The sequence below is a fragment of the Homo sapiens genome, chromosome 9 (genome assembly GCF_000001405.40).
Source record: "Homo sapiens chromosome 9, GRCh38.p14 Primary Assembly".
NCBI lineage: Eukaryota > Metazoa > Chordata > Mammalia > Primates > Hominidae > Homo > Homo sapiens.
This window is the reverse complement of record NC_000009.12, coordinates 98343077-98368040: the sequence shown is the minus strand read 5'-3', so window position 1 is coordinate 98368040 and position 24964 is coordinate 98343077. Positions and strand designations below refer to the sequence as shown.

Genomic DNA, 24964 nt, shown 5'->3' with positions numbered 1-24964 from the left:
ACTTCATGCACAGAGGGGATCAGGGCCACCTCTATTGAGTTAATGGCACTGAACTCTCCACTTAAAAAGGGTTAAAATGGTAAAGTTGATGTGCATTTTACCACAATAAAAACAAAACTGTAACAATAAAAACCAACTTGGTTATGTAAAAAACTGGAACTGTGAAGAAGAGCCCATTTTTGAACTACGCCTGTCACAACCCTTTCAAAACAATCTGGTTCCCTGATTGAGTGTGTGGTTTGGGTAAGATATAAATTTCTCTTCTCTACCTTACCCTCCTGTAATTTGGTTGGTAAATAATACTTAACCACAGCACCGCAAACCGGCTCCTGGAATCACTAGAAAACCCAGAGTAACCCCAAAGAGTTTCTCATACTGGAATAATGTGCTCATCCAGCCTTCATCATTTTCACAACAAAATTAGTACCAAATCTTGTACTGAAAGCCTTTGGCAGTTCATGTTGTTCGTTTGTATTGTGCAACCATCATCACCATCCATCTCCAAACCTTTTCATCTTCCCAAACTGAAACTCCATACCCATTCAACACTAACTCCCTCTTCTCCCTTCCTCTCCCCACAGCCATGCCCACCACGATTCTCCTTTCTATGAATTTGACTCCTCTAGGAACCTCATATAAGTTAAACCATACAATATTTGTCCTTTGGTGACTGACTTGTTTTGTTTCTTTTAAAGAAGTTTGGACTTTTTTTAGTGGCCCCCTTATTTTTTTTTTTTTTTTTACTGACATATATACTAGATTTATATAAATTTGCAAATGCAATCATTTGCTTTTTTTCAATGCAGTTTTTTATCCTTTTCTTCTTTGCATAGCTCCCACCCCTCCTCCCTCATCCATGATGGCTTGCCCTCCCCAAACATACATACACAAACTTCACCCCATATGCCCTATATGTCCACATTTTTGAAAGCATTAAAGCAAAAGAAGGCTATTAAAGGCTATTAACACGTGTGACTTAATGCTTCCAAATTTCATATTTTTACAGCATGTTACTTTTTTTCTAAAGACCAATTGTAAAATCTTTTTAAATTGAGGAGTTTTATTACAGTCTTTATTTTGCCTCATACTAGGACCAAATGGAAGTGTTGAAACAAGAGTAGAAATTTAGAGATGACACCTTCTGTTCTGGGGGCAGATGCTTTTTGAGGACAATGGAAGTTCACTACAAATATGACTGGGTTCTGTTGTAGACAATAACATGAGTGGGAAAAGCACCTGAGGATAAACCCTCAGACTTTCATCTGGGCTCAACTTAAGGAAAATGCTGAGGGCTTTTAGCAGCTGTCATGAAGCATCTGCCATCTAAAGACGACAGGAGAGCTCAGCCCCAGGGGCACCATCCATGCTGTATTCCTCCTGAATGGTGTTCCCTGAAGAAATGAGTTGGCCCTAGTGGAAGGCCAGTCTGAATAGGTCAGAAAATCTCAAGTTTTTTGAAAAAATGAAGAAATGCCCTTTTCTCTTAACCAAGCATCAGCCAAGTTTTTCTGCAAAGAGCCAGAGAGTCAATAGGTAAGACTTTGCAGGCTCTTCTGTCATGGTTGCAGCTACTCAACTTTGCTTTCATAGAATAAAAGCAACCATAGACAAATATGCACATGACATTCATTTAAATGAGTATGGTAAAGGTGTAAATTTCTCTTCTCTACCTTACCCTCCTTGTAATTGAGGGTACGCTCATTTAAACGAGCAAGGCTACGTTCCCATTAAACTTTATTTGCAAAAATAGATGGTGGGCCAAGTCAGTAGTTTGCTAATCCCTGCTCTAAACAACCCAGAAGTCACATTTAGTAAAAATCGCTGGATCTGTTGAACAGTTATTGTAAGCCAGGCTCTGGTAATCTAGTGTGGGATGTGCAAATATTATCCCCATGTTCTAGATGAGGAAACTGGTTCAGAGTGGGAAGGGAATTACCCAAGATCACACAACTAGTTAGTTCATTTCAAACTTAGATCTGATTCCAGAACCAGGTGCTTAATCATTACTGGGTGCCTTTGCTCTCATCTGCCACTAAGTACCTCCTACCCACAGAGAGAGGACTGCATGTGATAGCATCAGTGAGTACTGACGTAACCCAGAGAGAAGTTCAGGCAGCATTTAAGAGAAGGAAGGAAGTCAAAGAATCTAAGAATAGGGAGATGGCCTTGCCTAATGCAAGGGGTCTCTGGTGCTCAGATCAGTGCTTCTTTTTTTTCTTTCCTTCCTTCTGTTTTCATTATTTAAGATTATTTTAAATCACCTCTACTTGACATTGTATTTTGTATTCCCACGGGTGTACTTGTATAATTTTCACTACTAGTCTTCCCCACAAACATGCATGTTTCTTAGGGCAGAATGTTTGTTTTGTCCACTGTTGCATCCTCAGTGCCTAGAACAGAACCTGACTCAGGGTAGGCACTCAATAAATATTTCTACAATTAATAAATAAAAAGTGATTCATAACTACTTAGCCTAAACCCATTCAGTCACAAACAGTGGCTACATGCCAGGGTTTGTGAATGGTGCCAAAAGGAAAATAACCATTTCCTCTCCTCTGATTCTCAGCATCTTCCCACCACGCACCCATCCACACATGATGATTAGTCTTGTGTCTAGTAGAGCTTAGGTGCAGTATCACATTTGGCCCCTAGATGTCACTGTGTCTTACACATAAACACAGAATCACTAATTGTCAAAACCCAGGTAATGGTAGCCAGCTGCCATTTGTTGATCATCTTCTCTGTGCCAGACACTGTACTAAATGCTTTCCATACCTCATCTCATTTTATTCTTATACTAACTGTACAATTTAAGGATCACTGACCACACTTTAAAAAGAAGGAAACTGAGTCCTAGCAAAGTTAAGCAGCTTGCTCAAGATCACGCTTGACAAGAATTGGGATTAGAATGAGGTCTTCTACTTCCAAAACCTGTGTCCTTTCCTTTATACCTACTTGGAGAATAACACAGAAGCCCTCCTGCTCTCTCCCTCCCCCTGCCCCTGCCCATTTTACAAATGAGAAATGCAGAATGAGAGCAAGGAAGTGATTGGCTCATGGTCACACAGGTATCAAGGAACAGAGCCAGAATTCTAACTCAGGTCCACTTAATTTTAAATACTTTAGAAATCCACTGCCCCAGCCAGGTGTGGTGGCTCACACCTGTAACCACAGCACTTTGGGAGGCCGAGGCAGGTGGATCACTTGAGGTCAGGAGTTCAAGACCAGCCTGGTCAACATGGTGAAACCCCGTCTCTCCTAAAAATACAGAAATTAGCTGGGTGTAGTGGCACATGCCTGTAATCCCAGCTACTCAGGAGGCTGAGGCAGGAGAATTGCTTGAACCCAGGAAGGAAGTGGAGGCTGCAGTGAGCCTAAATTGCACCATTGCATTCCAGCCTAAGTGACAAAGCAAGATTCCATAAAAAAAAAAAAAAAATCCACTTCCTCAGACTTCATACTTGAGCCATTAAATTGGAAGGATTTACTTTATGACATTTACAAGAGGAAAATTCTGGTGCTCAGCTTTTAAAGCCATCTATGCCCCTTGCAGGGTATGCCTAGATTCATGGAGGAGGAGAAGCTGCTTGGGCTCAATCTTGAAATCAGGGTAGGAGTATGCCAGCAGAAAGGTGCAGGTCAGGCCTTCCAGGGGTCAGGAATAGCTGGACAAATGCCTGGGGGCTCAAACAGCCCCATGTTCAGCATCACGTAGATATGAGGCTCCTTCCAACCCATCCCCTAACTGCTAAGCTCCTTAGGCATTTTGCCCCAGTTTCTCAAGACTGGCAGGGAGTTGCCTAGTTCCCCAGAGGGTGAGAGTTAAGCTGGGTTTCTGCAAAGCACCAGCAGTTCACCATATCCTTGAAAATCTCAGAGCGGGCTTTGCCGGTGCCCTGCCCCCAGGTACAGCGGTTTTGCTGGATTTAATCTCCTTGGCAGTCACTGAGCCCACACTTTCCTCGTGTTCTTTTTACATTCGGTAACATAAAGGCCCCTCGGGTTTTTATTTCTCCTTTAAAAATGGCTTTAATCGTTAAAAACCAAACCTGGTGATATTTCTTAAGCTTCTGCCTGAGTTTTGTTTGTTTTTCCATGAGTCTCTTCCAGAACTACTCCATCACATTAGCTTTTCTGGAGAGTGAGGGGATATATAAACATGAAGTGAATGAAATACAGGTCAGCTTTGGCACCGAAAATATTTATCCCCCAGCCGATCCCTATCAAACAGACGTAAAGTGGGGTAGGAGTCTCACAGAGTAATAAAAATATCCCAGGCTGCAAAGAGGAATGGGAGTTATATTTCTTCTTTTTATATTCTTTCATGTCAATTCAATTCATCAGACTTTTAAGTAGCTACTGCATACCAGGCCCCGGTAGGTGCTGAGGGAACACAAATAAAATGGGCTTTCTTTCTGTCTAGGCCTCCCCAGTTTACTGAGGAGGGAAGACATGTATACAACTTTATATAGCTTCTGATTGTTGCTGTAAATGTTTGAGGATGTGAATTCTGGAGAAAACAGATCTCGGTCCAAATCCAGGCTTCATCTCTTATTAAGTTTATTATATTGAGCAAGTTACTTAGCCCTTTTAAGCCTCAGTTTGCTCATCCATAAAATAAGAATAATAACAATATTTGCTTTTATATGAGACACTGCCTCTGAAACCATCAACCTAGAGGCAGGCACAGAGTAAGTGTTCATTAAATGTTAGCTATTCCTCTCATTGTTGTTACTACTGTGGTTCCTCCTGATAATTAAGTATGTGGACAAAGCGCTATGGAGTAATTAGTTGTGCTGCAGGAGTTAGAGAGGACTTCATGGAGGAGGTGACAATTGATCGAGATGTTTAAGGATTATTAGAAGTTTGCCAAATAGAAAGAATAGGGTATTCCAGACAAAAGAACTAGCACCTACAGAGACCTGGAGGGTGAAAATCACAGCTCGGCCAGGGACTAGGAGTGGCCAAACTTCAACAAAATGCACATATGTGTTTGGGGAGTGATAAGGTCAAGCTTGTGAAAGGCCTTGAATGTCACACAGAGGAGCTTGGCTGGATTTATCCTGTGGGTGATGGGGAATCGCAGGAGACTCTCCGGCTGGGGGGTTCATGATGCAGGTTCCCCCTATGACCTGGGCCCCCAGTTGCTGCGTGGGAAGCTGTCTCTCACATCGGCTCCCCTCTGCTCCTTCCCGCTCTGTAGATCATCAAGGACCAGAAACTGCTTGTGATCGTGGGGGGCATGCTGCTGATCGACCTGTGTATCCTGATCTGCTGGCAGGCTGTGGACCCCCTGCGAAGGACAGTGGAGAAGTACAGCATGGAGGTAAGCCCTCCATGCCGGCAGGAGGGAAGCCTGCAGATGCAGCCCCTGGCACATGAGGACAGTGAGGCTGCACAGCTCCCAGACTGCCCAGTACCCCACTGGGAACACTTCATCAGTTCCATTTCCTTCCATTTGAGACATGTAATTCCAGGGAGGCCAAATATAAGGTGTTGTGAAAGAAGTTGATTTTAATATTAATACACGCAGAATGAATGGGAAATGTTGGGCTTTTTAAGAGTATATTCTTATGCATTGTAGAAGCCTTCATTTATAAGATCCATCACTTGAGAAATGACATTGCATATTTATCCCAATTTTAAAGTAAATCTCCTAAAAAGTGCTACTAGTGTGTAAACATTCTGAAAGCTCCTTCTAGATACTATATTGTTTTCAAAGTGATGGGCAATATATTTCTTTTCACACATTTGAAATCAGATATTTGTTGTTAAAATAAGGAACCTCACATAAAAGTACTGTTAAATATATTTTTAGTTGTCTTGCAGTCAGCCTTGCCCTGAACTCGCACTGGTCTTTCTAGGATTCTCCAGATTAGGGAATTTTGAGTCCCTTAGGACGCTGTAGTTTTGTTGACTTTCATTTAGAATAGTTAGACTGTCTTTGCGGGCTACAGCTGAGCTGCAGTGGGGTGTGCTATTTGGTAGGATTTCGGTAGAGTGTAACAAACTCTAAGAAAATAAGAATCTCTGTTTCTCTCACTGCTTTGTTAGAGAGATCTTTTGTGGGAATTTAGTGTGAATTCTTACACTAAACCAGAAATGGTCATTCTATGCACTGAGGGCAGAGCCTTTTATCTTTCTAGACAAGAAGGTTTTATAGAAAATAAGATGCTCAGCCTCATTTATCTCGAGACAGTGTTTACTCAGCTTGGTAAGAAGTTATGCATGCATTCAGAGCAGCAGCAGAGAATGCCATATAGGAAAGAGATTGAGAACTATGTCCCTCCACCTGACCACCTTCCACATAGAAGTGGGACTCCAGACAGTCACAACCAGAACTGGTAAGGAGGAAAGACCCGACACTGGCTCTGCCCACGGGCCAAGGGGGCAGGAACTGAGTCCACTCGAGCAGACAGGCTATTTTTGGACGGGGGGACATCTGGTCACCATTCACCCTGCAAGGTAGGCAACAGAACAGCTGGGTGGGTCCCAATTCATCCCAAGGGAATGCCCCCTTCATCCCAAGGGAATTCCCTGCCCAGCACCAGAATTTAGAAATCCAGACAGGATGTCAACACCAGGAAGAGCTATCATTGGCTAACTGGGCCCCTGAGCTAGGGAGAGACTGTGGCGGTGATAATAAAAAGCAACGATGATAAGAGCGATGATGATGATGACAGCTGGTATCATGCGTTAACTCATTTAATCCTCACAGCAATTCTGGGAGGTAGATGCTGTCCTTAACCTCATTTTACTGATGAGGAAACAGAAACCTAGAGAGGCTGTGTAACTTACCCAAGGTTACCTAGCAGGTTAGTGACAATACCACTAACTACCCTCTCACCTACTGCCTAACCCTGCCTTTCAACACCTGGGCAGCTCTTAGCAGTTTTACAGGCTTTCTTAAACCTTTGTTCATTGGCCACAGATCTGGGAAGTGAGTAGGGCAGGGAAATGTTCTCCCCTTCTACAGATGAGGAGAAAAAAGTAGAATAATGGGCAGACTGAGGGCCCAGGAGATCAAGAAATAAGAGCAGGGTGAGTCAGGCAGAGTTTGTGGAAGGCCTGGAGCTGGACCAGGTGGACAGAACGAGGCACAGTGGCTCAGTGTGGAGCCCAACAGTGGGCTAGGGAGGCTGAATGGCTGCCGCCTCTATTCTAGATGAAGGTGGGAGCTGAGTATTTACGAGAGGTTCCCAAGGCTCCAGCTGTGGTGGGGAGACACCAGCAGTGCCAGAGTCAACAGACTCTGGAAGTGGGGATGCCTGTCCTACTGGACCGTTTAAACAAGGTAAACCTGTGCAGTCTGATGTGTCTAGCTGATGGTTTGCTATCATGGCTCTTACCTGCCTTCCTTCTATTCTGTAATAAGCACTGCTGCTATCAATGGCTCTGTGCATAGAACCCTAGCACATTCCAGACTTTCCAAGGCTATGGTTCTCAAACTGAGGAGTCCCAGGGTGCTGCAGAAGTGCCTTTCTGTGTAGATAAGGAAACAGAGCCTGGAAAGGTGCTATCCAGGGCCCAGGGTCACCCAGATTGTCCAAGGCAAGGCCCAGATAGGCTGTTCCTGTGTCTCCCTGCAGGGTGTGCTGAGATTTCTCTCAGAACCTTTTCTGGCAGGTGCCTACTTTTCTTCTTTTATTTTAGGGTTGGCCTGTCCCTCTGTTGCTATGGTAACAGAACCCTTTGATCTGTCCACCCACAGCCCTGTTTATTGTCGTTTTTCTACAAACAGCACCAAGCCGTTGGTTTCTCTCAGACCCTCCTCTGTCAGACACAACAGGGTAGTTGAACAGTGTGCCCAGGGCCTGAGGTATCCTAAAGTCTCCTTCAAGGGGCTGTTTTGTCCAGGATCTCCAAACAGAAAGCCTAGGCTTGGGGGAGAGATGATGAAAGACCTTTGTGGCCCATCCCTCCCTCCCACTTACCTACTTCAGACACCCTGTGTGCTCCGGACTCTGAGCACCTGAGGATTCCAGGTATGGGCCTTGTAATATGGTACGCGTCCTAGCCTTTGCTCATGCTGTGTCCCCTTCCAGAATCTTCTCTGCCAAGTATATGACTTCAGTTTCAGCACCAGTGTTACCTCCTATGGAGAGGTGTCCCTGTGTTCACTGGCTCCGCTGGAGTCGAGAACCTGCTCTGCCTCACTTCCTCCCCCAGCATCCCAAACATTCCCCAGTCAGGACTCCCAGCAAGCAACTTCTCCAGGACAGGGCCATGTCTCAGCCAGCCTCCACACAGCCCACCCAGCAAGCACGCCACGGCCGGCATCTTCCATGGGAAGACACAGGTAGCCATGGCAGCCACAGCCTCATGGCAGCCTGCAGGCAAATCAGGGAGCAGACTAAACCTGCAGACGAATAACCGTATCACTTCAGATCACTGTCGACTCTGAAAGCAGTGAGAGGGAAATAAACAGAACCCAGGGCTTGAGAATAACAGGAAGGACCCATGGAAGCAATTCACCCTGAGAGAGCATACTCAAGGGTCCTTGGAATGCAAGTCCCCTAGAGGCCTACTGGGGGCAGCCCAGTCCCCCATCCTTATTCATTTCTGTGCCATAAATATTGATCGATTTATTTTATTTTATTTTATTTTTTTGGAGACAGAGTCTCACTCTGTCACCTAGGCTGGAGTGCAGTGGCATGATCTTGGCTCGCTGCTCAACCTCCATCTCCTGGGTTCAAGTGATTCTCATGCCTCAGCCTCCCAAGTAGCTGGGACTACAGGTGTGCACCACCATGCCTGACTAAATTTTGTATTCTTAGTAGAGATAGGCTTTCACCGTGTTGTCCAGGCTGGTCTCAAACTCCTGGCCTCAATTGATCCACCTGCCTCAGCCTCCCAAAGTGCTGGGATTATAGGTGTGAGCCACCTCGCCCAGCCATTTATATGTCATAAGTACTTCTGTAGCACTCGTCATGTGCCAGGTACTGTTCTAAATGCTTTACAAATATGAACTCATTTAATTTAATCTTTATAATAATCCTGTGAGGTAGGAGATATTTTTGCCCCCATTTTATAGATGAGGAAACTGAGACACAGAGACCTTCAGTGACTGGCCCAGGTCACTCAGCCAGTGAGTGGCAGAGCCTGGATTCCACCCCAGGTGGTCTGCTTTCAACCATGTTGCCACCCAACCCCACATACGGGTGGAAAGGGTCCCTGAGGCAGGGGATGGAGGTCCTGACTTCTGGTTTCACCGCCTCTTTCCTCTCTCAGGGGCTACACACAGTCCCTCTCAGGGCAGGCTGACTGTGTGGCTGTGGTCCTGGAGCCTGACTCCATGACGCCCCTGCCACTGCCAAGCCTCCAGCTATGGCTCAGCACCCCACAGCCTCCTCATGCCCCAAAGTGATTCCAGCCTCACTCTCACCTTTTTCACCAGCTATGCATCAGGCCCTGTGAGGGACTCCAGAGAGACAGCAGTGAATGAGATGTGGCCCTTCCTTCAAGGACCCCTTAGAGCAGTTAGGAAGACAGACAAGTCAGTGGCTAACTCACAACCCTCATGGTACAGGGTGCTGTGGAGCCCGAGGAGGGACGCCAGTCTGGCCTCATAGGGTCAAAGAAGACTTTTCAGCTGAAAGCCAAGGAGGCCTGAGCTGGTATGGGAGCACTCAGGCAGAGGCCGCTGCATTTAGAGAGCAGGCAGTGTGTCCAGTGAACCAAGTGCTGAGAGGACACAGGCAGCAAACACAACACACAGTGCTACTCCAGTGTACATTGGCACAACCACTTGGAAAACTATTTGACATGAGTCATGTCAAAGATGCACATGCCCCACAGCCCAGCTATTCCACTAGGACACATCCCTAGGGGAAGTCTCACACATATGCCCAAGGAGACCCAAGCCTGGGTGTTCACAGCAGCACTGTTTATAACAGCCAAAAACTGATAGCATCCTAAATGGCCCACAGGAACAGAATGGATACGTGCACTATGGTATTTTCAAAGAAAGGAAGGCTATACAGCTGTGGGAATGAATGAGCCACAGCCATACACATCAGTTTGGAGGCATCTCAACAACACAGCAATGAGCAAAAACAGCAAGTCACGCATGAATACCCAAAACAGGCTTTCACACGCTTCAAGTTCAAACACTGGAGAAACTGAACAGAATATTGTTTAAGGATACATACATAGGTAGCAAAACCATTTTTTAAAAAAAGAAGAAGGCAATTTTTAACACAGAATTCAAGATTGTGGTTACTTCTTGGTGGGCAGGATAGGAGGATATGATTGAGACAGGCACACAGGTCCTGTAAGGCTCTGGCAATTCTGTTCTTCAAATTGTACATATACATTATATCTCCTCTTCAGAAACTATGATGTGGGGTTTTTTTTTTTGTTGTTGTTTTTTGTTTGTTTGTCTGTTTTGTTTTGTTTTGAGACAGGATCTCACTCTGTTACCCAGACTGGAGTGCAATGGCAAGATCACGGCTCACTGCACCTCCCCTGGCTCAGGTGATCCCCCAGCCTCAGCCCCCCAAGTAGCTGGGACTACAGGCATGCGCCACCACACCCCATTAATTTTTGTATTTTTTGTAAAGACGGAGTTTCCTCATGTTGTCTAGACTGGTCTCCAATTCCTGGGCTCAAATATTCCACCTGCCCTGGCCTCCCAAAGTGCCGCGATGACAGGAATGAGCCACCATGCCCAGCAGATGTATTTAATTTTTTAAATTTTATTTATACTTACTTAATAGACTTTATTTCTTAGGGTAGTTTTAGGTTTACAGAAAAAGTTAACAGAAGTACAAAGAGTTCTCATGTACCCTCCACCCACCCCCACAATTTCCTGTTATTAATATCTTGCATTGTCTGGTACATTTTTTCAAATGATGAACCAATGTTGATACATTATTCGTCACTACAGTCCATAGTTTACATTAGGGTTCACTGTTCTACGGGCTTTGCCAAATGCATGTCATGTAGTCACCATTACAATATCATACAGAGTAGATTCACTGTTCTAAATATCCTCTGTGCTTTACTAATCCTTGACAACCACGGATCCATAGTTTTTCCTTTTCCAGAATGTCATATAGTTAGAATCACAGAGTATGTAGCCTTTTTAGACTGGCTTCTTTCATTTAGTAATATGCATTTAAGGTTCCTACATATATTTTTGTGGTTTGATAGCTCATTTCTTTTTATCAGTGAATAATATCCTATTTCCTGGTAGCTCATTTCTTTTTATCACTGAATAATGTCCTATTTCCTGGATGTACCACAGATTGTTTATTCATTCACCCACCGAAGGGCATCTTAGTTGCTTCCAAGTTTTGGCAATTATACATAAGGCTGCTACAAACTTTCATGTGTGAGTTTTTGTGTGGACATAAATTTTCAATTCATTTGGATAAATACCCAGGAGTGCAAGTTATGATTATATGGTAAGAGGATGTTTAGTTTTGTAAGAAACTACCAAACCGTCTTCCAAAGTGACTATACCGTTTTGCAAACCCACGAGCAATGAATGGGAGTTCCTGTTGCTCCACATCCTTGCCTGCATTTGGTGTCGTCAGTGTTTTGGATTTTAGCCATTCTAATAGGTGTGTGCTTGTATCTCATTGTTATAATTTGCAATTCCCCAGTGACATATGATGTTGAGCATCTTTTCATATGCTTATTTGCCATCTAGTGAGAAGACTGTTCAGAACTTTTGTGCACTTTTTAAATAGGTTGTTTTCTTATTGTTGAATTTTAAGAGGTCCTTGTATATTTTGGATGCAAGTCCTTTATTAGATATGTGTTTCATAAATATTTTCTCTCAGTTTGTCTTATTCTCTTACATTGTCTTTTTCAGAGCAGGAGTTTTAAATTTTAATGAAATCGAGCTTATTACTTTTTTCTTTCATGGATCATACTTTTGATGTATCAAAACACTCATTGCCAAACACAAAGTTACCTTGATTTTTTTCTGTTATGTTTTATGGTTTTACATTTAACATTTAGGCCTGTGACCCATTTTGAGTAAAATTTTGTGAAAGGTGTAAGGTCTATGTCTAGACTCCTTTTGCGTGTTGTCCAGTTGTTCCAGCACTGTTTGCTGAAAAGACGATCTTTTCTCCATTGTATTACCTTTGCATCTTTGTGATAGATCAGTTGACTGTGTTTGTGTGGGTGTATTTCTGAGCTCCCTGTTCCATTACATTGATCTATTATTTCATCAATCCCACCCTATGTTGGTTAGCATAGCTTTATAGTAAGTCTTAAAGTCAGGGAATGTCACTTCTCCAACTTTGTTCTTTAATGTTGTGTGAGATCTTCTGGGTCTTTTGCCACTCATGTAAACTTTGGAATTAGTTTGTTGATATCCACAAAATAATCTGCTGGGATTTTTATTGGGATTACACTGAATGTATAGATCAAGTTGGGAAGTATTGACATCTTACCAATACTGAGTTTTCTGATCTATGAACGTGAAATATTTCTCCATTTATTTAGATCTTTTTTTATTTTCTTTCATTAGAGTATTGTGGATTTCCTCATGTAGATGTTTTACCTAATTTGTTAGATTTATACCTATTTCATTTCATTTGGGTGCTAATGTAAATGGGATTGCGTTTTTAATTTCAAATTTCAATTGCTCATTTCTGGTCCAGGCATACCTCACTTTATTGCACTTTGCAGATTTTACATTTTTTACAAATTGAAATTTATGGCAACCTTACATTGAGCAAATCTATAAGCACCATTTTTTCTGATAGCGTTTACTCACTTTGTGTCTCGGTGTCACATGTTGATAATTTTCATAACATTTCAATCTTTTTATTATCATTATATCTATTATGGTGATCTGTGATCAGTGATCATTCCTGTTACTATTGTAATTGTTTTGGGGTACCACAAACCATGCCCAGATAAGAGGGCAGACTTTATTTGTTAAGTGTTCTGTGCGTTCTGACTGCTCTACCCACTGTTCCTCCATCTCTCTTCCTCTCCTTGCCCTATTCTCTAAGACACAATATTGAAGTTAGGTCAGTTAATAACCCTGCAGTTGTCTCTAAGTGTTCAAGTAAGAGAAAGAGTCACACATCTCTCACTTCAAACCAAAATCTTGAAATGATTAAGCTTAGTGAGGAAGGCAGGTTGAAGGCAGGTTGAAAGCAGAGATAGGCCAAAAGCTAGGCCGACTGCACTCAACAGTCAGGTTTTGAATGCAAAGGAAAAATTCTTGAAGGGAATTAAAAGTGCTGTTTCAGTGAACACATGAATGATAAGAAAGCAAAACAGCCTTATGGCTGATATGGAGAATATTTGAGTGATCTGGATAAAAGATCAAACCAGCCACAACATTCCCTTAAGTCAAAGCCTGATCAAATCTCAGTGAACTAGATCTCTTCAATTCCATGAAGGATGACAGAGGTGAGGAAGTTGCAGAAGAAAAATTAAAAGCTAACAGAGGCTGGTTCATGAGATTTAAAAGGAAAGAAATCATCTCTATAACATAAAAGTGCAAGATGAAGCAGCAAGTGCTGATACAGAAGCTACAGAAAGTTATCTAGAAGATATAGCTAAGATCTTTGATGAAAGTGGCTACACTAAACAACACATTTTCAATGGAGATGAAACAGGCTTATGTTGGAAGAAGATGCCATCTAGGTCTTTCATAGCCACAGAAGAGAAGTCAATGCCTGGCTTCAAAGTTTCAGAGGAAAGGCTGACTCTCTTGTTAAGAGCTAATGCAGGTAGTAACTTTAAGTTGAAGCCAGTGCCCATTTCCCATTTCAAAAATCCTAGGGCCCTGAAGAATTGTGCTAAATCTACTCTGCCTGTGCTCTATAAATGGAACAACAAAGCCTGGATGACAGCACATCTGTTACAGCATGGTTTCCTGAATAATTTTAAATCTACTTTTGAGACTTACTGTTCAGAAATAAATTAATTAATTAAAATACTCTTTTCAAAATATTATTGCTCATTGACAATGTACCTGGTGTATTAGTCTGTTCCCACACTGCTATGAAGAAATACCTGAGACTGGGTAATTTATAAAAGAAAGAGGTTTAATTGACTCACAGTTCTGCATTGCTGGGAAGGCCTCAGGAAACTTTCAATCATAGCAGAAGGCAAAAGAGAAGCAGGCACCTTCTTCACAGGGTGGCAAGATGGAGTGAGTGCAAGAAGGGGAAATGCCAGACGCTTATAAAATTATTAGATCTCGTGAGAATTTACTATCATGAGAACAGCATGGGGGAATTCCGCCACCCCCCCCCACCATGATCCAATTACCTCCACCTGGTCCCACCCTTGACATGTGGGGATTATCGGGATTACCATTCAAGGTGAGATTTGGGTGGAGACACAGCCAAACCATATCACCTGATTACCCAAGAGCTCTGATGGAGATGTAAAAGAAGATGAATGTTGTTTTCATGCCTGTTAACACAATATCCATTCTGCAGTCCATGGATCAAGGAATAATTTTGACTTTCAAGTCTTATTATTTAAGAAATACATCTCATAAGACTATAGGTGCCATAGATAGAGATTTCTCTGATGGATCTGGGCAAAGTACATTGAAAACCTTCTGGAAAGGATTCACCATTCTAGATGCCATTAAGAACATCTGAGATTCGTGGGAGGAGGTCAAAATGTCAACATTAACAGGAGTTTGGAAGAAGTTTATTCCAACTTTTATGGATGACTTTCAGGGTTTCAAGACCTCAGCAGAGGAAGTAACTGCAGATCTGGTGGAAATAGCAAGATAATTCGAATTAGAAGTGGAGCCTAAAGATGTGACTGGATTGCTGCAATCTCATGATAAAACTTTAACAAGATACACCAAATACAGCATCTAAGAGAGATCAGGATCAGCTCAGAGCCAGGAGGGACTCTCCACAGTGGGGAAAATAGATCTTTAGTGGTCCGCATTCCCATCACAGATGCCTGAAATACTAGCCAAGGAGAGCTCCTTAGTACTCACAGGCCATTAGCTTAGTATAGGGAGCTGCCTGGAGTCCATACAACTGCATTTTCCAGAGGATTTCACTCTGGGTCCCATTCACTCACCCCCCTAAAACCCAAGCTGCTGCATCAGGACACCATTTTGAGAGCCCAGCACCCACCAGAATATATCCTGCTCTAGGGCCCAAAAGCCCCTACATCTATACATACTGAAGCCCAACTGACATTCCCCCACATCCACCCAGAGGGCTGCAGCATTATGACACCAGCCATAACTTGTGGCACAGCCGGGTCCCCAGGACTCTAGCCCACACAGCGTCCTATGCCCCAGAGAACATCAATGTACCACACCAGGAAGGCTACCCCCAGGACAAAGGGACCCAAAGCATGCTCTCCCCAGAGCCTGAGAATTGCCTGCCTGGGGATGCCGATAACCCCTCCCCCTCCAGCAGCAGGACCCTCATGCACCTGCAGACACCTTCAGGGATCTTGAGGACCAGTCTGTCCCACTCACCATAACCAGCATCCATGCACACCATCCATGGACCTGAGGACAGGTCCACCCTGCCTGCTGCCATCACCACCCACATGTGCTATCTGGGAATCTGAGTATTAGTCCACCCTGCCCATGACTGGCATCCATGAGCACTTCATAGGGGCCCTAGGGCTGGCCTTCCCAGCCCTCCAGCACCACCCACCCAACCATTATCACTACCTGGTGGCCTTAGGACTGACCAGCCACCTCTTCTGCCACCAGAGGTGGCTATGCAAGCTGCCTAAGGGCCCAAGGACCATTCCACCTAGGCCCACCATTGACACTTCTGATGTCCACACACAATACCTGGGGACCTGAGGACTGGCACACCCAGTAGACAACTGCCACCACCAGTGCCCCTACATGCCACCCAGGGGCCAGCCCCAGGACCAGCTTGCCTGGTGTCCTTATCTCCAGTAAAGCCTCAACATAGCCTCCACTAATAATTACAGCCTAAGCTACTGAGAAATTCACAGCAATCACTGATGTTGATTACAGCCAAAGAAATCATACAGAGACTACACTACTAAGCCCATTCAGAATCAAAGCCAAAGTACCCTACCCAGCCAACACTATAGACACATGTACAGGAAAAATTATTTCCCCATGAAAGTCAATCCCTAAAATTGGAAGAAGCAGCTGTTATACCAGATGCACAGATATCAATGTAAGGATACAAGAAATTTGAAAAAGCAAAGAAACATGATACCTCCAAAGGAACACAATAATTCTCCAATAACATATTCCAAAGAAAGGAAATCTATGAAATGCCAGAAAAGAAATTCAAAATGATGATCTTAAGGAAATTCAGTGAGATACAAGACAACACAGATGGACAAACACAAAGAAGTTGGGAAAACTATTTGAGATCTGAATGTGAAATTCAGCACAGAGATAGATATCATTAAGAAAGGAACCAGACAGAAATCCTAGAACTGAAGAATTCAATGAATGAAATTTAAAAACACAATTGAGAGCTTCAAAAATAGACTAGATCAAGCAAAAGAAAGAATTTCTAAATTTGAATAAAGCCATTTCCCAGATAAGCAAAAACAGGAAATTCATCATCACTAGACCATCCCTACAAGAAATGGTTAAGGGATTCCTACATCTGGGAGTGAAAGGATGGTATCTGCCTTCATGAAAACACACAAAAGTATAACTCACTGGTAGAGAAGAGACACGAATAAGAAAGAGAAAGAAATGAAATGTTAGCACCATTGAAAACCACCAAAAGACAAAGGTAAATAATAAAAGAGGAATAAAGGAACAAAGGATATACAACACAATCAGAAAACAATTAACAAAATGACAGGAGTAAATCTGCACTTATCAATAACAACATTGAATGTAAATGGTTTAAATACCTCAATTAAAAGACATAGACTGGATGAATGGATTTTTTTTAAAAAGCCAACTATAAGCTGCCTACAAGAATCTCACTTTTCCTGAAAAAGATATAAATAGACTGAAAGTGAAGGAATGGATAACAAAATTCCACACAAATGGAAACCAAAAGCGTGCAGAATTAGCTATACAAATATCAAACAAAATATACTTTAAGTCAGAAACATAAAAAGGGACAAAGGAGAACATGACATAATGATAAAGGGATCGATTCATCAAGCAGATATAACAATTGTGAATATGCACCCAATGCCAGAGCACCCAGATATATAAAAAAAATTATTAAAGCTAAAGAAAGAGGTAGACTCCAATATAATAATAGTTGGAGATGTTAACACCCCACTTTTTAGCATTGGACAGATAATCTAGACAGAAACTCAACAAAGAAGTGTCAGAATTAATGTACATTGTAGACCAAATGGACCTAACAGACAGTTATAGAACGTTTCATCCAATGGCTACAGAATACACGTTTTTCTCATCAACACATGGAACATTCTCCAGGACAGACCATATGTTAGGCCACAAAACAAGTCTCGACAAATTTTTTTTACATCGAAATCATATCAATCATCTCTCAAATCACAGTGGAATAAAATTAGAAATCAATAACAAAAGGAACCTTGGAAACTGTACAGAAACATGGAAATTAAACAACATACTCCTAAACAACTGTTAGGTCAATGAAGAAATTAAGAAAGGAATTTGAATATTTCTTAAAACAAATAAAAATGAAAACACAACATACCAAAACCTATGAGATACAGCAAAAGCAGTGCAAAGAGGGAAACGTATAGCAATTAACACTCACATCAAAAAAGTAGGGAAATTTCAAATAACCTAATGATGCACCTCAAGGGACCAGAAAATCAAGAACAAAATAAATTCAAAATTAATAGAAGGAAAGAAATAAATATCAGAGCAGGATTAAATGAAATAGAGGCTAAAAAAATACAAAGGATGAAGAAAATGAGAACTTGTGGGGTTTTTTTTTTTGAGAAGATAAAATCAATAAACCACTAGCTAGACTAAACAAGAAAAAAAAGATGAAAATAAAGAAAATGAGAAACAAAAAGGAGACATAACAACTGATGCCACAGAAATACAGAGGATCACTAGAGACTATTATGAACAACTATATCCAACAATATGGAAAACCTAAAGGAAATGGGTAAATTTCTGGACACATGTAACCTACCAAGATTGAATCGGAAAGGAATAGAAAACCTACACAGACCAATAATGAGTAACAGAATTGAATCCATACAAGAAGTCTCCCAACAAAGAAAAGCCCAGGACAAGATGGCTTTATTGCTGAATTCTACCAAACTTTTAAAGAACTAACATAATTCTTCTCAAACTATTCCAAAAATTTGAAGAGGAGGAAATTCTTTCTTATTCATTCTACCAGACCAGAATTACCCTGATACCAAAACCAGACAAGGGCACAATAAAAAAAGAAAACTGCAGACCAATATTCCTGATGAACATAGATTTAAAAATCTAGATGAAAAAATATTCTCCGGGCACAGTGGCTCACGCCTGTAATCCCAGCACTTTGGGAGGCCAGGGAAGGCGGATCACGAGGTCAGGAGTTCGAGACCAGCCTGACCAACACGGTGAAACCCCATCTCTACTGAAAATACAAAAAAATTAGCCAGGCCTGGTGGTGCATGCCTGTAATCCCAGCTACTTGGGAGGCTGAGACAGGAGAATCGCTTGCAACCCAGGAGGCGGAGGTTGCAATGAGCCGAGATCATGCCATTGCACTCCAGCCTGGGCAACTCTGTCCCGAAAAAAAAAAAAAAAAAAAAAAAAAAAAAACAAAACTTCAACAAAATATTGGCAAACCAAATCCAACAACACATCAAAAAGATAATACACCACGACCAAGTGGGATTTATCCTAGGGTTGCAAGAATGATTCAACGTAAACAGATCAATAAATGTAATATATTGCATTAAGAGAATGAAGGACAAAAACCATATTGTTATCTAAATAAATACAGAAAAGCATTTTATAAAATTCAACATCCCTTCATGATAAAAAAAAATTCAACAAATTAGGCATAGAAGAAACATATTTCAACATACTAAAGGCCATCTATGACAAACCTACAGCTAATATCATACTGAATGGAGAAAGGCTGAAAGCCTTTCTTCTAAGAACTGAAACAAGACAAGGATGCTCACTTTCACTAGTCTTCTTTAACACAGTACTGGAAGTCCTAGCCAGAGCAATTAGGCAAGAGAAAGAAATAAAGAGCATCCAAAAGGGAAAGGGGGGAGTCAAATTGTTCCTCTTTGCAGATGATATGATCTTATATATTTTATAAAAACCTAAAGACTCCACCAAAAGTACTCTTAGAACAAATCAATAAATTCAGTAAAGTTGTAGGATAGAAAATCAAGATGTAAAAGTCAGTAGTATCTCTATACACCAATAACAAATTAGCTGAAAAAGAAATAAAGCAATTTCATTTATAATAGCTACAAAAAATGTCTAGGAATAAATTGACCAAGGAAGTGAAAGACCTCTACAATGAAAACTACAAAACACCAATGAAAGAAATTGAAGAGAACACAAAGAAATGCAAAAACATCTCATGTTCGGGGATTAGAAGAATTAATATTGTTAAAATGACCATACTGCCCCAGGCAGTCCACAGATTCAACGTAATCCCTATCAAAAGGTCAATGACATTCTTCACAGAAATAGAAAAAACAATCTGAAAATTCATATGGAACCACAAAAGACCCTGAATAGCCAAGGCAATACTGAGCAAAAGATATAAAGCAGAAGGCATTCAACTACTTGACTGCAAAATATACTACAAAGCTATAGTAACCAAAGCAGATGATATTTGTATGAAAACAGACCATAGACCAACGGAACAGAATAGAAAGCCCCTAAATAAATCCACATATTTATAGCCAACTGATTTTTGACAAAGGTGTCAAGAACATATACTGGGGAAAGGACACCTTCTTTATAAATGATGCTGTGAAAACTGGATATTCATATACAGAAGAATGAAACTAGACCCCTGTATTAGTCTGCTCTCACACTGCTAATAAAGACACACCCAAGACTGGGTAAATTAAAAAGGAAAGAGGTTTAATAGACTCACAGTTCCACATGGTTGCAGAGGCTTCACAATCATGGTGGAAGGAAAAGGAGAATCAAAGGCACATCTTAAATGGTGGCAGGCAAGAGAGCTTGCGCAGGGGGACTCCTATTTATGAAACCATCAGGTCTCGTGAGACTTACTTACTATCACAAGAATAGTATGGGGGAAATTGCCCCCATGATTCAATTATCTCCACCTGGCGCCACCCTTGACATGTGGGGATTATTACAATTAAAGGTGAGATTTGGGTGGGGACACAGAACCAAACCATATCAACCCCTATTTCTCACCATACACAAAAATCAACTCAAAATGGATTAAAGACTTAAATGTAAGCCCTGAATATATAGAACTACTAGAATAAAATATAGGGGAAATGCTTCAAAACATTGGTTTAAGCAAAGATTTTATGGCTACAACTTTAAAAGCACAGACAACAAAAACAAAAATAGATAAATTGGACTATATGAAACGAAAAGACCTCTGCATAGCAAAGGAAACAATCAACAGAGTGAAGAGACAACCTGTAAAATGAGAGAAAATACTTGGAAACTATTTATCCAACAAGGGACTAATGTCCAGAATATACAAGGAACTCAACAGGAAAAAAATGAAATAATTTGATTAAAATGAAGACAAAGGATCAGAATAGATATTTCTCAAAAGAAGACATACAAATAGCCAACAAATACATGAAAAAGTGTTCACCATCACTAATTATCAAGGAAATGCAAATCAAAACCACAGTGAGGTATCATCTCACCCCGGTTAGAATGGCTATTTTCAAAAAGACAAAAAGTAACAAATGTTGGCAAGGATGCAGAAAAAAGAGAATTCTTATACACTGTTGGTGGGAATGTAAATTAGTACAACAATTATGGAAAATAATGTGGGGGTTTCTCAGGAAACTAAAAATAGAACTACCATATGATTCAGCAATCCCACTACTGGGTGTTTATCCAAAGGAAAGGAAATCAATATATCAAAAGGATACTTGCACCCCTATATTTATTGCATTATTCACAGTTCCTAAGATATGGAATCAACCTCAATGTCCATCAACAGAAAAATGGATAAAGAAAATGTGCTGTATATATACACAATGGGATACTATTTAACCATAAAAAAGAATGAAATCCTGTCATTCACAACAACATGAATGAGCCTGGAGGATATTATGTTAAGTGAAATAAGTCAGGCACAGAAAGATAAATACCATGTGTTCTCACTCATATCTGGAAGCAGAAAAAAAAACTGAGCTCATGGAAGAAGAGGGTAGAATCGTGGGTACTGGAGATTGGAAAGAGTAGAAGGTAGGGGAGTATGGGGAGAGGTTGGTTAACAAATACAAAGTTACAGCTAGACTGGAGGAATGAATTCCCGTGTTCTGCAGCACTGCAGGATGAATACGGTTAACTATAATTTATTATATATTTTCACAAAGCTAGAAGAGAGGATTTTGAATGTTCACAATATAAAGAAATGATAAATGTTCAAGGTGATAGGAATGCTAATTATGCTGATTTCATTATTACACATTTTATACACACACCAAAATAGTCTGTATCCCATAAATATGTACAATTATTACATGTCAACTAAAAATAAAAGGAAAAAATAACTTTCATGAGTGAGGAGTTGCTTCTTATGGAAAAGCAAAGAAAGTGGTTTCTTGAGATGGAAACTACTCCTGATGAAGATGCTGTGAACATTGTTGAAATGACAACAAAGAACTTAGAATATTCCATAAACTTAGTTGATAAAGCAGCAGGGTTTGAGAGGATTGATTCCAATTTTGAAAGTTCTACTGTGGGTAAAATGCTATCAAACAGCATTGCATGATACAAAGAAATCATTTACGAAAAGCAGAATCAATCAATGCAGCAGACTCCGTTATTATCTTAAGAAATTGCTACAGCCACCCCAGCCTTCAGCAGAAACCACACGTGGGTCAGTCAGCTGCCATCAATAAGGAGGTAAAACCCTCCGCTAACGAAAAGATTACCACTCACTGAAGGCTCAGATGATCATTAGCATTTTTAACAATAAGGTATTTTTAATTAAAGTATGTATATTGTTTGTTAGACATAATGCTACTGCACATTTAATAGAATACTGTATAGTGTCAACATAACTTTTATGTACACTGGGAAACCAAAAATTTGTGTGGCTCACTGTATTGAGATATCCACTTTATTGCAGTGGTCTGGAATCTAACCTGCAGTATCTTTGAGGTGTGCCTGTATAGGAAAGCAAGTGATTTTTGTATATTAGCCTAATATCCTGAAACTTTGCTATAATTACCTGTTAGTTCCAAGAGTTTTTGTGTTGATTCTTTGGGACTTTCTATATAGACGATCATGTCATTTGCAAACAGAGACAATTTTATTTCTTCCTTCCCAGTCTGTATACTTCTTATTTCCTTTCTTGACTTACTGCATTAACTAGAACTTCTAGTACAATGTTGAATAGGAGTGGTGGGAGGGGACATACTTGCTTTGTTCTCAGTCTTCAGGAAAAGCATCTAGTTTTTCACCATTAAGTAGGTTAATGTATCTTTTCTTTTCTTAAAAAGTTAAAAAGCCACTATGAAATAGTTTTGAATAGTTTTGATGGCCAAAACTGAGGATGCCTTTGAGGAAATTAGAGGAAGGTCGAATGATGACTCAGGCAGAGCTAAGATTGTTAGGGATCTTGTGTGCTAAGAAGAGGAGTTTAAACTTCAAAATTAAAGATATCTCATCAGGGGAGTGACATGATCAGCTTTGCCCTGGCTGCACGGTGAGAACAGATGGAGGGGCGAGGCTGGAAGCCCAGTGATAGCTGGATGTTTTTGCAGTAATTCAGGCAAAAGCTGATGGCGACCTAAGCCAGGGCAGTCACAGTGGGAACAGAGAAGGGTGTGGATTTGAGAGCTATGTAGGGAGCAGACATGACGAGACGTGGTGATTGACTGACTCTAAGGGGTAGTGATATGGGGGCAGGGAGGGCAATGCTCAGATTTCTGCCTGGGGTGCTTGGGGAACCTCTTCATTAAGGCAGGTGTGGAATGAGAATGGGCTTGGGAGGCAACATGGGGAATTCATTTCTGGCCATAAGTTTGAGTCACCTGAGGGCCTTCTAGGCAAAAGGGCTAAGAAGATGGGCTGCAGGGTCCCAGTGGACAAAAGAGTAGTTTGTCCAGTCGGTAGAGATTTGTGGGGAAGCAGCTAGTTAGCACATTGAGGATAGAGTCATGAGAGTGAGTGTAGTAACCCAGAGAAAGTGGGTGCAGTGAGAAGTGAAGAAGTCCCCATAGGAGCCCCGGGAATCACTGAGTGATTAAACAGCCATGCGCACAGGAGGACGAGCCAGGGAAGGAGAATTTTAAGCAGTGGGATACCAGGAGAGAGAACCATCACTGGTGAGGGGACAGGAGAGAGAGCTGTCCCCAGGCAGATGGTCAAGAGAGAGCCATTCACAAATGGAAGAATTTGAAAAGGGAGAGTGAGGGCTCCAGAGACAAATGCCCCAGACTGAGGCAAGGACTGACAGGTGTCCCATGAACTGGCCCTGTGCTCAGTGCTCCTGCATCCCATCTCAGCCTTTCCTCTTCTTTAGAGTCTGATGGAAAGATTGGCTGTTTCTGCATTTCAGATATAGCAGGTGTAGATAAACCTGCCAAATATGTTAAAAAGGTTTTTAAAATATGATTTGTATTCTTGGAAAAAAGGAAAATAGCTCTCTTTTTTGAGCACCTACTCTACTTGTGGTGACGGTGAGTAGGTGTTGGACATACGGATCTGAAGTTCAGGGAGAGGTGTGGGCTGGAGATGGGAACTCAGATGGGGCAGCTTATGGATGGCAATGACAATCTTGGATGAGGGCACCAAGAGCAGTCAGAGCGATGGAGAAGAGAAGGGGACCAAGGACTCACCCTGGATCCTGTGCATGTTTGGAGACTGGAAAGGTGGGGGAAATTGACAAAGAAGACCTAGCAGAAGCTCAGCAATAGGAAGAAAATCAGATGAGTTTGGTGTCTTGGAAACCAAATGAAGAAAGTGTTTCAAGGAGGAAGTTTTGATGAACTGCGTCAAATGCTGCTTTTAGATCAAGTAAGATTAGGGCCACGAATTGACAGTATGTATGTGTGAGTATATGCACACACCTCCATATGGGATTTTTTTCTTTTTTTCTTTTTTTTATTTTGACGGAGTCTTGCTTTGTCACCCAGGCTGGAGTGCAGTGGGGCAATCTCGGCTCACTGCAAGCTCCACCTCCCGGGTTCACGACATTCTCCTGCCTCAGCCTCCTGAGTAGCTGGGACTACAGGCGTCCGCCACCATACCCGGCTAATTTTTGTATTTTTGGTAGACAAGGGATTTCACCATGTTAATCAGGCTGGTCTCAAACTCCTGACCTCATGATCTGCCTGCCTCGGCCTCCCAAAGTGCTGGGATTACAGGTGTGAGCCACCGCGCCCGGCCAGGATTCTTTTCTTTTAAGGAAAATAATTTGAGATAATTTTCCCCAAAAGTAAACTCAGTACATACAGATGGTGTGATCCTAGGTGGAGGGTTGTTCATTTTTTCCCAAGCCTTCCTTTCATAGCAAGCCACCATTTACACCTCCACCTGACCATTCCAAAATGGTCTTGAAATGGAGCGACATGGCAGACAGCACTCAAGGTCACTGAATATTGAACACCCAGGTGAGCCACGGAACCACAGGGCAGCCACTGTGGCAGGATCCTGAGGCTGCCTGCACACCCCGAAGTCTTCTCTCATCCTGGTCCCCACAGGATGCCAAGCAACCTATGTCAGGAATTCCCTACACTCTAGCTTCTGTGGCTTTCTGGCCATTTGAGCAGTAATCAAGTTAAGGGCCATTTGGGACAAAGGGATATTTCAGAACTTTCCTCCAGCTTCCGTAGTCTTGCCATTCTTCTGTGGAAGCACACAGGGGATTTGGAATCATGGAACTACACT

The 24964-nt window shown here is 41.7% G+C and overlaps 1 protein-coding gene across 4 annotated transcripts in view, besides 1 other annotated feature; it reads left to right on the top strand.

The window, feature by feature from the left end:
- GABBR2 (gamma-aminobutyric acid type B receptor subunit 2) overlaps positions 1-24964 on the top strand; it is a 420827-nt gene that overhangs the window by 340895 nt on the left and 54968 nt on the right. For all 4 annotated transcript variants that reach the window (NM_005458.8, XM_017015331.3, XM_005252316.6 and 1 more), the window contains one exon: positions 5204-5326. In NM_005458.8, the coding sequence (NP_005449.5) occupies positions 5204-5326 (123 nt within the window). The remainder of the gene's footprint in view (positions 1-5203; positions 5327-24964) is intronic.
- Positions 7750-8250: an enhancer, noted in NCBI's record as "H3K4me1 hESC enhancer chr9:101122073-101122573 (GRCh37/hg19 assembly coordinates)". NCBI's record gives its function as "activates a minimal SCP1, AML or CMV promoter by ChIP-STARR-seq in naive H9 embryonic stem cells {active_cell/tissue: H9 hESC(naive)}" and the evidence as "EXISTENCE:reporter gene assay evidence [ECO:0000049][PMID:30033119]".